At 55.7% G+C, this 16,454-nt stretch overlaps 1 protein-coding gene across 2 annotated transcripts in view, besides 4 other annotated features; it reads right to left on the bottom strand.

The window, feature by feature from the left end:
* ARPC1B (actin related protein 2/3 complex subunit 1B) overlaps positions 1-16,286 on the bottom strand; it is a 20,558-nt gene extending 4,272 nt beyond the window's left edge. Inside the window, exons 1-5 of one of the 2 annotated variants that reach the window (XM_024446628.2) lie at positions 15,967-16,286; positions 4,767-4,843; positions 3,756-3,860; positions 2,284-2,506; positions 533-640 (exon numbers count right to left, since the gene is read on the bottom strand). In XM_024446628.2, the coding sequence (XP_024302396.1) occupies positions 533-640; positions 2,284-2,506; positions 3,756-3,860; positions 4,767-4,830 (500 nt within the window). In that variant the 5' untranslated portion in view covers positions 4,831-4,843; positions 15,967-16,286. Of the gene's footprint in view, positions 1-532; positions 641-2,283; positions 2,507-3,755; positions 3,861-4,766; positions 4,844-15,763; positions 15,816-15,966 lie in introns of those variants that run through there. The other variant, NM_005720.4, reaches the window with a different exon arrangement.
* Positions 9,309-9,628: an enhancer, noted in NCBI's record as "active region_26313". NCBI's record gives its function as "activates an Ori minimal core promoter by ATAC-STARR-seq in GM12878 lymphoblastoid cells {active_cell/tissue: GM12878}" and the evidence as "EXISTENCE:reporter gene assay evidence [ECO:0000049][PMID:35858748]".
* Positions 10,229-10,548: an enhancer, noted in NCBI's record as "active region_26312". NCBI's record gives its function as "activates an Ori minimal core promoter by ATAC-STARR-seq in GM12878 lymphoblastoid cells {active_cell/tissue: GM12878}" and the evidence as "EXISTENCE:reporter gene assay evidence [ECO:0000049][PMID:35858748]".
* Positions 14,905-15,544: a silencer, noted in NCBI's record as "silent region_18407". NCBI's record gives its function as "represses an Ori minimal core promoter by ATAC-STARR-seq in GM12878 lymphoblastoid cells {active_cell/tissue: GM12878}" and the evidence as "EXISTENCE:reporter gene assay evidence [ECO:0000049][PMID:35858748]".
* Positions 15,555-16,434: a silencer, noted in NCBI's record as "silent region_18406". NCBI's record gives its function as "represses an Ori minimal core promoter by ATAC-STARR-seq in GM12878 lymphoblastoid cells {active_cell/tissue: GM12878}" and the evidence as "EXISTENCE:reporter gene assay evidence [ECO:0000049][PMID:35858748]".

Below are 16,454 nucleotides of genomic sequence, written 5' to 3'. Positions count from 1 at the left end.
ATTAGCCGGGCATGGTGGCATGCGCCTGTAGTTCCAGCTACTCAGGAGGCTAAGGCAGGAGAATCGCTTGATCGCTTGAACTCAGCAGGCGGAGGTTGCAGTGAGTCAATATCACGCCACTGCACTCCAGCCTGGGCGAAAGAGCGAGAGTCCGTCTCCAAAAAAAAAAAAAAAATCCTGTCTAGCTGGGCGTGGTAGTCTTGCTTGGGAGGCTGAGAAGCAAGAGGATCGCTTGAGTCCAGGATTTGGAGGCTGCAGTGAGCTATGATTGCACTACTGCATTCCAGCCCGGGCAACAGAGCAAGCCCCTAGCTCAAAAAAAATAAAAGAGGTGGGCAGAGGCCCATCCAGCTGAGACATGAAGGGTTCCCCAGGAACTAGAACCTTCAACCGACGCCCAGGTCATCCACTGGTAGCAGGTCTGGAATGTGTCTAGAAGCTGGGGTGTAGAGCTTTCAGGTGCGGCTCCCCGCTATGATGTCAGCAGTCAGTTGACGTCAGCCCCGCCCTCCCCCATGGCGCCCTGTCTCACCGACACTTGAAGTCACAGGAGCCGGCAGCCAGCAGCACATTGTTGGGGTGCCAGTCCAGGCTGAGGACGGTGGAGCGGATGGGCTTCTTGATGTGCTTGCAAACCCACCTGGGAACGGTGGTCAGGCAGACAGGGAGAGAGGGACAGGCAGGTGGGACTCATGGACCTCAGCACCAGGGACTCCAGGCTCCCACTGCTCCCTGCAGCCCACCAAAGACCCAGGAGAGAGGCGACTGGGCATTGCCAGCCCACAAGGCCGTCAGGGCCCTGGGGCGGCAGGGATGTGCTGTGTCGCTTCTGGAGTGGGAACTCTGTGCCCTCTATCCTTTAGGCCACACAGTCACCCTCAGAGCAGGCTCAGCAAAGTGATGCCATCACCAGAGGTCACACAACTACTAACTGGCCATGGTGGGATGCAAATTTGGGTCTCTCAGATGCTCCTGGCTGGCCTCTGCCCTCAGCCATGCAGGGGAGATTAAAAACTAAGACGTGGACTGGCAATCATGGCTCACACCTGTAGTCTCAGCACTTTGGGAGGCTGAGGTGGGAAGATTGCTTGAGGCCAGGAGTTCAAGACCAGCCTGGACAACGTGACAAGACCCTATCTCTACAAAATAAATAAATAAATGATTTGGGCCTGTAGTCCGAGCTACTCAGGAGGCTGAAGTGGTAGGATTACTTGAGCTCAGGAGGCTGAGGCTGCAGTGAGCTATGATCACAACACTGCACTCCAGCCTGAGCGACAGAGCAAGACCTTGTCTCAAAAATATATATATGGCCGGGCGCAGTGGTTCACGCCTGTAATCCCAGCACTTTGGGAGGCGGAGGCAGGAGGACCACCTGAGGTCAGGAGTTCAAGACCAGCCTGACCAACATGGAGAAACCCCATCTCTACTAAAAAATACAAAATTAGCCTGGCGTGGTGGTGCGTGCCTGTAGTCCCAGCTACTCAGTAGGCTGAGGCAGGAGAATTGCTTGAACCTGGGAGGCAGAGGTTGCGGTGAGCTGAGATTGTGCCACTGCACTCCAGCCTGGACGACAGAGCAAGACTGTGTCTCAAAAAAAAAAAAAAAAAAAAAATTGGCTGGGCACGGTGGCTCACGCCTGTAATCCCAACACTTTGGGAGGCCGAGGCGGGTGGATCATGAGGTCAGAAGTTCTAGACCAACCTGGCCAAGATGGTGAAACCCCATCTCTACTAAAAATATAAAAATTATCCGGGCATGGTAGCAGGTGCCTGTAATCCCAGCTACTTGGGAGGCTGAGGCAGAGAACTGCTCGAACCCGGCAGGCAGAGGCTGCCGTGAGCCAAGATCGTGCCACTGCACTCCAGCCTGGGTGACAGAGTGAGACTCCATCTGAAAAAAAAAAAAGGAACAAGATGTGGCTGCGAGCTCGTGAGTGGTGCCTTGAGAAAGTGACTGCTACAGGGCCTTTGCTAATCTGTAAAGTGGGGACAGTGACCGATGCCCAGTCCACGGAGCTGCAGGGAAGTCAGGACTAATGTGTGTGCAGGGCTTAGTGAGGTGCCCCCAGATGTGTTTCTGGTGTGGTGGGTGTCACTGGCAGTGAGAACATCCGGACGCTGCAGAGAGGCCCTTGCCTCATGAATGAGGCCCAGAGAGGAGAGGATGGACTCCCCCAGGGTGATGGGAACAGGGGTCCTGACATCCCATTTGGTGCTTCCCGGGGACACTCTAGTCCTGCCCCCGGTCCCTAACAGCCCACTCTGGCCCTGCCTAGGTACCCACCAGTCATTCTCCTGCTCGAAATAACAGATGGAGATCACACGAGAGCCGCTGCCCACAGCAAACTTGTTCTCGTTGGGGGCCCAGCGCACGCAGCGGGCAGCCCGGTTGATCCGCAGGATGACCAGCGTGGGCTTCCATGTGCGGCCCTTCAGCGTCCACACGTAGGCGTTGCGGTCTGTGCCGCAGGTCACAATACGGTTACTCTCGGGGGCCCAGTCGATGCCTGTGGGGGGATGGAGGGAACACAGGAGGCTGATGACACTCAGGCAGAGGTGGCTGTATGGTGGCCACATGGGAGAGGCTGAAAGGCCACCATCCAGGTGGAAGCTGTATCTGCCCAGCAGGCACTTTTTTTTTTTTTTGAAACAGAGTCTCGCTCTGTCACCCAGGCTGGAGTGCAGTGGCATGATCTCAGCTCACTGCAGCCTCTGCCTCCCAGGTTCAAGCAATCCTCGTGCCTCAGCCTCCTGAGTAGCCGGGACTACAGGTGTGTACCACCAATCTTTTTTTTTTTTTTTTTTTTTTGAGACAGAGTCTCGCTCAGCCGCCCAAGCTGGAGTGCACTGGCACGATCTCAGCTCACTGGAACCACCATCTTCCGGGTTCAAGCAATTCTCACATATCAGCCTCCCAAGTAGCTGGGATTACAGGCACCCGCCATCATGCCTGGCTAATTTTTGTATTTTAGTAGAGATGAGGTTTCACCATGTTGACCAGGCTGGTCTTGAACTCCTGACCTCAGGTGATCCGCCCGCCTCCGCCTCCCAAAGTGCTGGGAGTACAGGCGCAAGCCACCGCACCCGGCCTCTTTCTTTCTTTGTTTTTATTGCGACACAGTCTCGCTCTGCCATCCAGGCTGGAGTGCAGTGGTGCAATCTCAGCTCACTTCAACCTCCGCCTCCTGGGTTCAAGCGATTCTTCTGCCTCAGCCTCCAGAGTATCTGGGACTACAGGTGCGTGCCACCACACCCGGCTAATTTCTGTATTTTTCAACATTTAGTCATGTTGGCCAGGATGGTCTCGAACTCCTGACCTCAAGCGATCCACTCGCCTTGGCCTCCTGAAGTGCTGGGATTACAGGCATGAGCCACTGCACCCGGCCCAGCAAGCACTTTTTACTGAGATCCAGTGCTTATTTAGAGTGACACCAGGGGGCACTCCTAGAGCTTATGAGGGAGTGTCAGAGCCCTCCATGCTATCAGCAAACATGCTGGAGGGCAAAGCCAAGAGGCAGAAAAGATGGGTTCTTGGTCATGTGGAGCTGCTGGATCAAGCCTCTCCTGAAGCCCTCAACCCTGTGAGTTTTTGGTAACATGAGCCAACACAGTCCCCTTAAAATTGAAGCCAGTTTGAATCCGGGTTTCACGGTGAGTGGGCAGATGCTCCACAATGAGTGGCCATGCCCTGCCTTGCACCACCCCCCCAACCCACCACCTCCTTTCAGGACGGTGGTCCCAGCCACCCTGACATACCTGTCACCTGCCCGTTGTGCTCCTTGAGCTCGTGCACCTTGGTCCATTTGGCACCGCTCTTTTCATAGATATGCACCTCATGGTTGTTGGGGCAGATGGCAATCTCTGAAGGGGAGATGGAGGGAGATTGAGGGGCCCTCTCCATGACTGCCCTCTGCCAGGACACACTACACAGTGCACCTAGGCAACAACACCTCACCTTTCATGACTCAGTCTCTCCTCTTCTGCCTTGCAGGGGCCCCCTGAAGTCCTTCAGGCCCTGCTAGGCCACCCTGTCTTCTCCTGGAACTGGCTGTCCTTTACTCGCAGCAATGAACCCTGGGACCTCTCCCCACCCTATTGCTCTGGCCAACCAGGAACCCTTCGCTGCTCCTGCTGACACCTCAGGGCCCCTGCACCTGCCAGCCCCTCCCCAGCTGGGGCACAGTTCCCTTCCTCTCCCCCTCTGGGTCTCTGGGTAAATGTCAAAATGTCATCTCCTCCGAAAGGCTTTTTCTTGGTCACTTTTTCTTTCTTTCTTTCTCTCTTTTTTTTTTTTTGAGACAGAGTCTCGCTTTGTTGCCCAGGCTGGAGTGCAGTGGTGCAATCTCGACTCACTGCAACCTCCGCCTCCTGGGTTCAAGCAATTCTCGTGCCTCAGCCCCCCGAGTAGCTGGGATTACAGACACCCACCACCACGCCCAGGTAATTTTTGTATTTTTAGTAGAGACAGGGTTTCACCATGTTGCCCAAGCTGGTCTGGAACTCCTGACCTCAAGTGATCCACCCACCTCAGCCTCCCAAAGTGCCGGGATTACAGGCATGAGCTACCGCAACTGGCCCATTCCCTCCTTAAACTTTAACCCAGGAGGCCCCTGGTCAGCTGGAAGACCCAGGGGTGAGGCCAGGGGACAGCCACATGGAGCCCATGGTCCGGGGGCCTGGCTGCTCCAGAGTCCCCATGTGTGCTCTGGCTGGTCCCCATCCCAGGAGGTGGAAGCAGCCACCCACCGGCCCCCAGCAAGCACTCACGGGTGCGGTCCTTGTTCCAGGCGTGGCAGCTGATGGGCTCCACCAGGAAGCTGTGGTAGGCCATGGCGGCTTGGCTCCTGTGCCCGAGAGAGGAAGAGAGAATCCACGTCAGCCCCAACCTTGCCCCTGACTTCACCCATACCAGGCCCCAGATGATCCTCACAGGCCTCACACCAGGGAGGCCCCTCAGTTTAGAGGGGCAGCAGTTTGCAGAGAGGAGCAGCAGGGGCCAGCCCTGGCTCCCAACTGGCCTGACATGTTGCTTCCCCTCCTGGGGCCTCAGTTTCCCTCCTTATAAAAGGGCAGCTTTCACAGGATGTCTCTGAGGCTCCAGGGACAGGGTGGAGGAGACGGTACTACAGGGGAGATGCTCCCTGGGGCGGGGTGGGGTGCTAGGACTCCAAGCTGGACAGGCCCCTCACTTGTCATCTGTGCCTCGGTTTCCTCATAGGATGGACGACCCCCCCCCCCCCACCCAACTTCCCCTGCCCCATTAAGGATGGGATGAAGATGAAGTCATCCAGGCCAGGCCCGGTGGCTCATGCCTGTAATCCCAACACTTTGGGAGATCGAGGCAGGCGGATCACTTGCGGCCAGGAGTTCAAGACCAGCCTGGCCAACATGGTGAAACTCCGTCTTTACTAAAACTACAAAAAATTAGTCGGGTGTGGTGGCGGGCACCTGTAGTCCCAGCCTGAGGCAGGAGAATGGCGTGAACTTGGGAGGCGGGGCTTGCAGTAAGCCGAGATCGCACCACTGCACTCCAGCCTGGGCGACAGAGTGAGACTCCGTCTCAAAAAAAAAAAAAAAAAAAAAAAAAAAAATTAGCCAGGTGTGGTGGCACCTGCCTGTAATCCCCACTACTCAGGAGGCTGGGTGACAGAGCAAGACTCATCTCAGAAAAAAAAAAAAAAAAAAGAAATGAAGTAATCTCATAAACCACCTAGAAAGGTGTCCAGCACATGGCAGTTGGCCCTGCCGTGCCCAGAGCCCTGGTCTTCCCCCACACTGCTCAGACGGGGAGAAGGGAGGTGGCCGGTCTGCAGGGGCTCATGGCTGAGGCAAAGGCAGATATTTAACAGATACATCCCATTCTCCATCCAGACATCCACTGGCTGCACCCAGGGCTGGGAGGAGGCACAGGGCTAGGCGAGGCCTGGGTGATGGCTCTTGGGGAGGCCCCAGGGTGACCCAGCCTTGGGGAACTGAAGGAGGGAGATTTTTGTTTCTTGAGACAGGGTCTCTCTCTGTGGCCCAGGATGGAGTGCAGTGGTGTGATCATGGCTCACTGCAGCCATGAACTCCTGGGATTACAAGCATGTGCCACTGTGCCCAACTAATTTTTGATTTGTTTGTAGAGAGGGGGGTCTCACAATGCTGTCCAGGCTGGTCTCAAGCTCCTAGGCTCAAGAGATCTTCCCTCCTCACCTGCCAAGTATTTGGGATTACAGGTGTGAGCCACTACACTCGGCCAGAACGAGGGAGATGTTTGACTGCAGCCCTCTAGACTAGCCCCAGCACTGAAGGGGAACCCTGGCAGAGGGCAGCGACTCATCCTCCCGTCAGCCCAGCTCAGCCCCTGCCAGCCTGTCCCTAGCCTCCTCCACCTGCCGCTGAGTGTCAAAGGAGCCCACCAGGCCTGACGGGGGTGAGATCACGGTCTCAGCCCAATTCCTCAAACACATCTCTCCCCGCCTCCGTGACTCAGTTTCCCAGCATCACAGGGACCTGGAAGTGGAGGAGCCCAGTGGCACTGCTTGCCCAGCCACATGCCCCGGGACACATCACCTGCCTTCTTTTAACCTCAGTTTTCTCATCTGTAAAATGGGAACAGGAATCCTGCCTCCCAGCAGAGATGCTGAGAGCTGGAAGCAGATGACACACCGCACCTGGCCTCTATGAGGAGGAACCACGAGGCGGTTACTCTTAGCCTGTGATGGATGTGATATACCAGCCCTTTGAGGAGCAGGCCTCCCCAGCCAACCAGAGGCCAATCCTGGGGCACACAGGCATGCACCTGCCTCGGGCTTCCGTGCTGGCTGTTCCCTAGGCCTGTGACACTCTTCCCCCAGATACCGGCACACACGGCTCTCGCTCTGGTGCTGCCACTCAAGTCTGTACTCAAATGTCAACTTTTGGGGAGGCCTTCCCTGGAAACTGCAGCACCTTCCACGGTCCGGCACTTCGTAATTCCCTATTTCCGATTAAATTTTCTCAGCAGTCACCATCAGACATGCACTCACTGATCTGGCCCGCTGCCTTCCTCCCCTGCTGGAATAGAACCAGCTTGGCAGAGACACATTTTTGTTCTATCTTGTTCTCGTTTCTATTTCCACTGCTTAAATGCTTAGCACATAGTAGGTGCTCAAGAAATATCCGCTGAACAAATTTTTCATTGCCATTAGTGACCAACAGAGTACGTTCTCAGAAACGTGTGTGTGTGTGTATATTTGAGAAAGGGTCTCGCTCTGTTGCCCAGGCTGGAGTGCAGTGGTGTGATCACAGCTCACTGCAGCCTCGACTTCCCAGGCTCAAGTGATCCTCCTGCCTCTGCTTCCCAAGTAGCTGGGACTACAGGCTCACGCCACCCTACCCAGCCCTCAAAAATATTATCATTACATAGGTTAGGAATGAGGCCAGGCACGGTGGCTCATGCCTGTAATCCCAGCACTTTGGGAGGCCGAGGCGGGCGGATCACCTGAGGTCAGGAGTTCAAGACCAGCCTGGCCAACATGGTGAAAGACTGTCTCTACTAAAAATACAAAAATTAGCTGGGCGTGGTGGCGCACACCTGTAGTCCCAGCTACTTGGGAGGCTGAAGCAGGAGAATCTGTTGAACCTGAGAGGCAGAGGTCGCAGTGAGCCAAAATCACACCACTGCACTCCAGCCTGGGCAACAGAGCAAGACTCTGTCTCAAAAAAAAAAAAAAAAAAAAGGTTAGGAATGAATGTGTGTGAAAAAATAACTTAAAAATAATAAATAAATAAATAATTTTATTAAATAGGGCCAGGCGCAGTGGCTCATGCCTGTAACCCCAGTACTTTGGGAGGCCTAGGCAGGAGGATTGCTTCAGGCCAGAAGTTCAAGACAAGCATGGGCGATACAGTGAGACCCTATCTCTACAAAAAATTTAAATAAAAAAATTTGCAGGTGTGGTGGTGCACATCTGTATTCTTAGGTATTCAGGAAGCTGAGGCAGGAGGATTGCTTAGCCTAGGAGTTTGAGGCTGCAGTGAGCTATGATTGTACCACTGTGTGACAGAGCCAGACCCTGTCTCTAAAATAAAATGTATTAACTAGTACCATCCAGCACTTTCTGGATACTCCCTCCTTGCCAGCTCTAGAAAAAAAAGTATCCTTTTTTTTTTTTTTTTTCGAGATGAAGTCTCACTCTGTTGCCCAGCCTGGAGTGCAATGTCGCAGTCTTGGCTCACTCCAACCTCCGCCTCCTGAGTAGCTGGGATTACAGGTGCGCACCACCATGCCTAATTTTTATATTTTTAGTAGAGACAGGGTTTCACCATGTTGGCCAGGCTGGTCTTGAACTCCTGACCTCAAGTGATCCGCCCGCCTCGGCCTCCTAAAGTGCTGGAATTACAGGCATGAGCCACCGCGCCTGGCCAGGTGCTCTGTATACATTCTTGACTTCAACACTCCCACCAGCCCTGGACTTTCAGGGAGGCCTGGCTGCACTTGGGGAGGGATGCCAGGCTCCAGGTCAGCTCCAGATGACAGATGTGGGGGCTGAGGCCACCTGCCCAGAGTCACCAGTGACAGCCATTAGATAATGTGGCTGCCTCCCTCACCAGACTGGCAGTTTTGTGTTGGGTCTCAGGGCCTGGGCTGGGAGCCAACCAGGACTGGGAACCCTGAATGCCCCAGGAGGCCGGTGGCTGCCCCGTCACTGCCCTGCCCAGGGGCCGGCCCATCCTGCACTGCATCTGGGCCCAGGCACAAGGGAAAGGCAGAACGACCTTTGCCTGGGGCTGCAGTTTGGCCCCACAGGGCTCAGTGACCAGCCTGCCCGAGGTCACAACACAAAGCCCCCTGCGCTCACTGCCTGGAAGGCCCTGTCCACCTCCTGCTCACTCCAGATCCAAACCGCTTGCTTTCACTTGTATCAGGATGTCCTGGAAGATTCCTGGAGCAGCACAGGACACACACACATGCACATGTGTACATGCACGGGGCAGGGACCTCATGTTTCCTCCATGCTTAGAACAGGACCCCGGTGGGTCCCCAGTCAGCATTTGCTGAGCAAGTAGACACACGCAGCGCAGGGTCAGGCCACGCACACAAACACATGCGTGTTCAGCCTCACACACACAAGCACACTTTGCATGTTAAGCCTTGCACACACACATGCACACTGCACCTCCCCACACTTTAAGCACATGTTTAGCCTTGCACACATGACCATACTCCCCACATGCACGTGTTGAGCCTCACACACAGGCACACTGCAGGCCTGCACACATGTATGTTCAGCCTTGCACACACGCAAGCGCACTGTGTCCACAAGCACACTTTGCACGTGTGGGCAGCCTTACCCAGAACAAGCACCCGGCACCCACTGGGGCTGCCTCTGCAGCCTCTCTCTCCTTATAAGGCCTCTTTGTGTAAGGTGAGGGCCCCGGAAGCACCATCTCAGCGCCCTCAGCCATGTCAGCAGGTCTGATGGGGGTTTCCCTGAGCGTTTCCTGTGTTCCCAGGCTGGGACATCACCACCCACATCTGATGCCAGCACTGTGCAGAGAGAAGCTCAAGGCCTGTGACTGATTCACGGTGCTCATCTACACCCCGACAACCCCCATGGTCCAAGGTCACCAGCAGGGCAGGGGCAGGGTGAAGGCCAGAAGCCCACTTTCACACTCCACCCAGGCTCTGGTTGGCCCCAGGACTCCAGCTGAGGCCAATTTTTCCCTCCCTTTCAGCCCCAGGAGGCCCAGACTGAAGGAACCTCCGGGGATGAGGGTGGGAGAGCCCAGACTCAGAACCCTGGGTTGATGCACAGACTCTGACATCCCAGCATCAGTGGTCACATTCTTGCTGTGTGCCCAGCCACATCTCTGCCCTGGCTGTCAAGACGGAGTGGCTGGCTCTGCTGAAGACAGCAACCCCCACGTGTGCCAGTGGGCAAGGGCAACCGAGAGGACTTGAAGAGCCCTGACCACTGTTTCTAGGACCTAGACATACTCAAGGGGCAGAGGAGGGGCTGGAAAAGATGGCCACAGTGGTACACTAGTGACTGGCAGAGGAGGGAGGTTGAGACCACACCTATCAGCCAATCACACTTCAGCATGAATTAGCAGAAATACTTCCTAGTCTGTTGAACAAACCCCTTAAATGGGGCAAAGAAGTGTTAAGGGGGCGAGAGACAGGAAGACTCATTTCCCTTTTTCCATAACTTCTGCAAAGCAGCTGAAACCCAAAGCGCCTCTGCGATAACTCCCCAACCCCCACATCTTACCAGTGAGGAAGTGGGAGAGCAAAAAGGGAGTGGCTTCTCTCAGCCAATGCTGCCACAGGGCTCCAGTCTCCTGCCTCAGGGATTCTAGCCGGGGACACTCCAACTTCATCATCCTCAGGAAAACCTCTCACCTACCAAGCCTGCGTGAGCCAGCGTGTGCTCACCCCCGCCTGCCAATTACCCTGCTCTGGATGTCTCAGGAGAAAAATACGAGGGCTGCTTCACCCACCAGTGTTGACAGCATAAGGTCTCAGTGATGGCTCCTGGGGGAGGGATCCAGGACACCAACCCACTATCACTGTGGCCCTGTGAGCCAGCACTGTGGGCCTGTTTGATGTTAAGAAACCAGAGAGAGGAGGGGATAGCCGGGCACAGTGGCTCACGCCTGTAATCCCAGCACTTTCGGAGGCCGAGGTGGGTGGATCACTTGAGGTCAGGAGTTTGAGACCATCCTGGCCAACATGGCAAAACCCCGTCTCCACTTGGAAAAAAAAAAAAAAAATTAGCCAGGCATGGTGGTGCCAGGCAAAGAAAGCCTCAGGCTGCCCAGCGGCGGGGTGGTGGTGGTGAGGCACTCTAAAGTCCTGGGCCTTGATACTCTCTCCCTTACTGTGCTGGGTTTACATTCTAGCTGTCTTCATACTGGCTGGGTGCCCTCAGCCAATATTTCCCTCCCATCTTAATCCAGATGAGGCTGGGGCTAGACTAGGCACAGGCTGCGGGACCCTTCTTGCCTGGCTTCCTTAGGTTTCCCTGAATCCAGAGGTTTGGCTGTATCAGAGGCTAAACCAAGGAGGAGTTGCCTGGAGGAAAGATCTCAGCATTACAGGCGCTCTGGGAAGTCCCCACCCAGCTCAGGCAGTTCTTGGATAGAGCAGCCAGCAGGCTAATTTGCACCGTGCTAAGCGGTTACTCAACTTCCTATGCTGGGTCAGAGCCCTTCCTACCCCTATCCTTCCCTCTCCAGCTCTGCTCTTGAAGTCTTACCAACCACGCAGAGTGAAGTCAAGAAACACACATGAAAACAATCGTAAGGTACCATTAAAGCACCGGTTAGTCATCCAAACAAAACAAAAACACACAAAATTCAATGCTAGCAGAGCTGTGGAGAAATTGTCATTTGTTGCTAATTGGTTTAATTCTTCTGAAGGGCACTCAATTCAACAAGTGGGTGGGACCAAATATTAATAGAACAGAATAACACTAACAGGAACTTGAAAATTAGCATTCTGGCCAGGTGTGGTGGCTCACGCCTATACTCCCAGCACTTTGGGAGGCCGAGGTGGGTGGATCACGAGGTCAGGAGATCGAGACCATCCTGGCTAAAACGGTGAAACCCCGTCTCTACTAAAAATACAAAAAATTAAGCCGGGCGTGGTGGCGGGCGCCTGTAGTCCCAGCTACTCGGGAGGCTGAGGCAAGAGAATGGCGTGAACCCGGAAGGCGGAGCTTGCAGTGAGCCGAGATTGCGCCACTGCACTCCAGCCTGGAGGACAGAGCAAGACTCCATCTCAAAAAAAAAAAAAAAAAAAAGAAAAAGAAAATTAACATTCTTTGGTCACATACACCCATTTGGTCCTAAGAAAACAGCAACACATTTTTCTTTCTTTTTCTTTTTTATTTTTGAGATGTAGTCTCATTCTGTCGCCCAGGCTGGAGTGTAGTGGTGCATTCTCGGCTCACTGCAACCTCCGCCTCCCAGGTTCAAGCAATTCTCCTGTCTCAGCCTCCCCAGTAGGTGGAACTACAGGTGCCCACCACCACGCCCAGCTAATTTTTGTTTTTGTTTTTAGTAGAGATGGGGTTTCACCATGTTGGACAGGCTGGTCTCGAACTCCTGACCTTGTGATCCACCCGCCTCGGCCTCCCAAAGTGCTGGGATTACAGGTGTGAGCCACCACGCCTGGCCCCATTTTTCTTTTTTAAAAGCAAACAGGTGGGGTGCCATGGCTCACGCCTGTAATCCCACCATTTTGGGAGGCCAAGCCAGGTGGATCACTTGAGTCCAGGAGTTCGGAGACCAGCCTGGGCAACATGGCAAAACCCTGTGTCTATAAAAACTACCAAAAAAAAAAAAAAAATTAGCGGGATGTGATGCTGTACGCCTGTAGTCCTGGCTATCTGAGGGGCTGAGGCTGGAGGATTCCTTGAGCTGGGAAGGTGGAGGTTGCAGTGAGCCGAGATCTCGTCACTGTACTCCAGCCTGGGTGACAGAGTGAAACCTCATCTAAAAAATAAAGCAAACATGTTTATAATAGCTGTCTTTATAATGGTGACAGTGTGGAAAAACCCAGGTGACAATATGGAAAGAGTAAATTATGACATTAACATGTTGAGATGCTACGTAATTATTAATATTAGAAAAGACCTATCAACCGACGGGTGCGGTGGCTCACACCTGTAATCCCAGACTTTGGGAGGCGGAGGCAGGTGGATCACCTGAGGTCAGGAGTTTGAGACCAGCCTGCCCAACATGGTAAAACCCTCTCTACTAAAAATACAAAATTTATCTGGGCTTGGTGGTGGGCACTTGTAATCCCAGCTGCTCGGGGGGTCGAGGCAAGAGAATCACTTGAACTCGAGAGGAAGAGGTTGCAGTTAGCTGAGATTGTGCCACTGCACTGCAGCCTGGGCGACAGAGTGAAACTCCGCCACCTCCAAATAAAAAAAAAAAAGAAGAAGAAGAAGAAGAAGAAGCTGGGCGCGGTGGCTCACGCCTGTAATCCTAGCACTTTGGGAAGCCGAGGTGGGCGGATCACCTGAGGTCAGCAGTTCGAGACCAGCCTGGCCAACATGGTGAAACCCCGTCTCTACTAAAAATATAAAAATTAGCCGGGCATATTGGCATGTACCTGTAATCCCAGCTACCTGAGAGGCTGAGGCAGGAGAATCACTGGAACCCGGGAGGCAGATGCTGCAGTGAGTCAAGGTAGTGTCACCACACTCCAGCCTGGGCAACAGAACAAGACACTGTCTCAAAAAAAAAAAAAAAAAAAGAAAGCACGTATAAGGCAGGCGTGGAGGCTCATGCCTGTAACCCCAGCACTTTGGGAGGCCAAGGCAGGAGGATCGCTTAAGGCCAGGAGTTTGAGGCCAGCCTGGACAACACAGCAAAACCCTACCTCTACTAAACATTTAAAAATTAGCTGGGCATGGAGGAACATACCTGTAATCCCAGCTACTCAGGAGGATCCCTTGAGCCCAGGAGTTTGGGGCTAAAGTGAGTTATGATCAAGCCATGGCACTATAGCCTGGGCAACACAATGAGACCCGGACTCCAGAAAAAAAGAAAAAGACCTATCAATGGATTATGTACAGACATATGTAAGAAACAAACTTTACCGGCATCTATCAGGGCGATTTTACCCAGACCTTTCACCATTCTCCCCCTGAAGCAAGCCTGAGACATTTTTTGTTTGCTTTTTTTTTTTTTTTTGGAGACAGAGTCTCGCTTTGTAACCCCAGGCTGGAGTGCAACGGCATGATCTTGGCTCACCGCAACCTCCGCCTCCCAGGTTCTAGCGATTCTCCTGCCTCAGCCTCCTGAGTAGCTGGGATTACAGGTGCCCACCACCACACCTGGCTAATTTTGTATTTTTAGTAGTGACGGGGTTTCACCACGTTGGTCAGGCTGGTCTCGAACTCCCGACCTCAGGTAATCTGCCTGCCTCGGCCTCCCAAAGTGCTGGAATTACAGGCGTGAGCCACCGCGCCCAGCCTGTTTGCTTTTTACCTTCAGTTTGTACAGGAGGAAACCCAGGCTCAGACAAAAGCAACGATTTGTTCAAAGTCACTCGGCTTCTACTAAATGACGCAGCTTGGGACTCTGACCCCAAATCTTGGAGGCCAGGAAGTTAGGTTCACCTGGGGGAACACTATGATCAAGGTGAGCAACAAACGCACGTTTATACTGTCAGCGCCTGACACGCTGCCAGGTGTCTTGCAGTATTGCATTTCAGCCTCCCAGTCTTTAAGGTTCCCATTTTCCAGATAAGGAAAGTTGAGGCTGGCAGGAGTTGGGTGGCTTACCAGTCACTGGCCAGTGAAGGGAGAAGCTGGCACTCCTACCTAGGTCCCTAAGATTTTATTTATTTATTTAGAGACGGAGTCTGGCTCTGTTGCCAAGGCTGCAGTGCAGTGGTACAGTCTTGGCTCACTGCCAAGGCAGGTTCAAGCAATTCTCTTGCCTCATCCTCCTAAGTAGCTGGGATTACAGGCATGTTACGTGGCTTTTTTTTTTTTTTTTGAGACGGAGTCTTGCTCTGTTGCCCAGGCTGGAGTGCAATGGCGTGATCTCGGCTCACTGCAACCTCTGCCTCCCGGGTTCAAGCAATTCTCCTGCCTCAGCCTCCTGAGTAGCTGGGATTACAGGTGCGTGCCACCATGCCTGGGTAATTTTTGTATTTTTAGTAGAGACAGGGTTTCACCATGTCGGTCAGGCTAGTCTCGAACTCCTGACCTCAAGTGATCCGTCCACCTCGACTCCCAAAGTGTTGGGATTACAGGCATGAGCCACAGCGCCTGGCTACATTTTATTTATTTATTTTAATAGAGAAAGGGTCTCGCAATGCTGTCCATGCTGGCCTCCAACTCCTGGCCTCAAGCGATCCTCCCGCCTGGGCCTCTCAAAATGCTAGGATTCTATGTGTGAGCCACCGCGCCCGGCCGGGATGGGTGGTGGTAGCCTCCGGGCTGCATTGGCAGAGGAGGCAGGGGGAGGTCTGACTCCCCAGGCTTGCACTCCTGATCCCTTCACTGCCCGCGGGTGCAGCCCGGCCCCGCCCCGCCCTAGGCGGCCTGGCTGCTCTCCCAGCGCCTCCGGAAAGGGAGGGGCTGCTCGGATCTGCCCTGGCCGCGGAGCCCTGCAGCTGAGGGGGTGCGTTCCGGGACCCCGCCAGCCAGGCCCGCCCCGTACGGGACCCCTCGGACCTGGCCCGGGGGAGGCGGGTGGGAGCAGCGGGAGCGGCCAGGAGGGCAGGGGCGGGGCGGCAGGAGACGCCAGCTCATTTCCCGGCGGCTGCAACCCGGAAGGCTCCGGGGATGGAGGGGAAGTGACTGGGTGTGGGGCCCCGCCGGCCCGAAGTAACGGGGCTACACCGACCGACCGCGGGGCAAGGCTGGGGATGGGGGCCGGGGAGCAGGGGCGGAAGGCACGAGGCGGAAGCTTGGGGCCGGGGGCTGGGGACGCCCCGAGGGCGCCCGGTGCGCTGGGAGCCCGCGTTTCCACAGTCTGGCCCTGCGGCCACCCCCGCGCCCCCTCCAATCCCAGGGCTCCCTCTCCTTTCCGTGAGCCCCTCGTCCCCGCGCCCCCTCCTCTCCATGTGCCCCCACTCATCCCCGTGCCCCTATTGGGCGGCGCCCCACATCTATGCGTCCTCACTTCCAGGCGCCCCCCGGTCCCCTCCTTGCACCCCCTCTCATCCCTCCAGTCCCGCTCACTCCCAGGCGGCGCCCCACATCTACGCGCCCCCCCACCTCCAGGTGGCTCCCCTGACCCCCACCTCCGGGCGCCCCCACGGCCCTCACCTCCCGCGCCCCGGCCGCGGACTCTGGGCAGTCGACGCGCCGAACCGGCTCTGGGCTCCGCGCCGGAGCAGCAGCCACTTCCTCGTGGGCGGGGGGCGGGGCCTGCCGACCTCAGCCCGGTAGGGCCCGGGGGCGGGGACCTGGGGCAGCGGTCGCGAGATCCAGGTCCCGCCCTCCCTTCGGGGTGGGGGTGCTGCCGGTACCCGCGCAGACGTCGGAGCCCAAGGCTCTGTCCGCAGAAGCCGTCCGCAACCACCGTCAATGCTTTACCAATGGGGAAACTGAGGCTGGGAGCCAGGCGCGCAGCCTGAGCCGCCGCTGGGCTGGACCTCCGAGCCTGGGCCGGGCGCACGGCCCCCGGGGACTGCCGGGCGCAGGGTCGGGGAGTCACGTCCTCTGAGCCCGGACGGCGGGTACTGCGGGCTCCGCGCTCACACGCAGGTGAGCGGCTAGCGAGCCCTGCAGCCCCGTCGGCAGCCAGCGAGGAGCTCCCTTCACGCTGATGCCGGTGGGCGCCAACTGTGCAGGCCCTGGGCGGGGAGCAGGCGGTCCGGGCGTGGCCAGGGCAGCCCGGCCCCGCCCCCTTGGCCCTCCGTGTCCTCGCCACGAAACAGGGGTGCTGTCCCCGGGCAGGGTGACACTGGCCGCCCCTGCTGACGCTGGCCGGCCAGTTAACTTCTTTCCTTTCTGT

This window comes from Homo sapiens, chromosome 7, assembly GCF_000001405.40.
Source record: "Homo sapiens chromosome 7, GRCh38.p14 Primary Assembly".
NCBI lineage: Eukaryota > Metazoa > Chordata > Mammalia > Primates > Hominidae > Homo > Homo sapiens.
The sequence above is the reverse complement of the archived record's forward strand: the minus strand, read 5'-3'. Positions and strand labels throughout refer to the sequence as shown.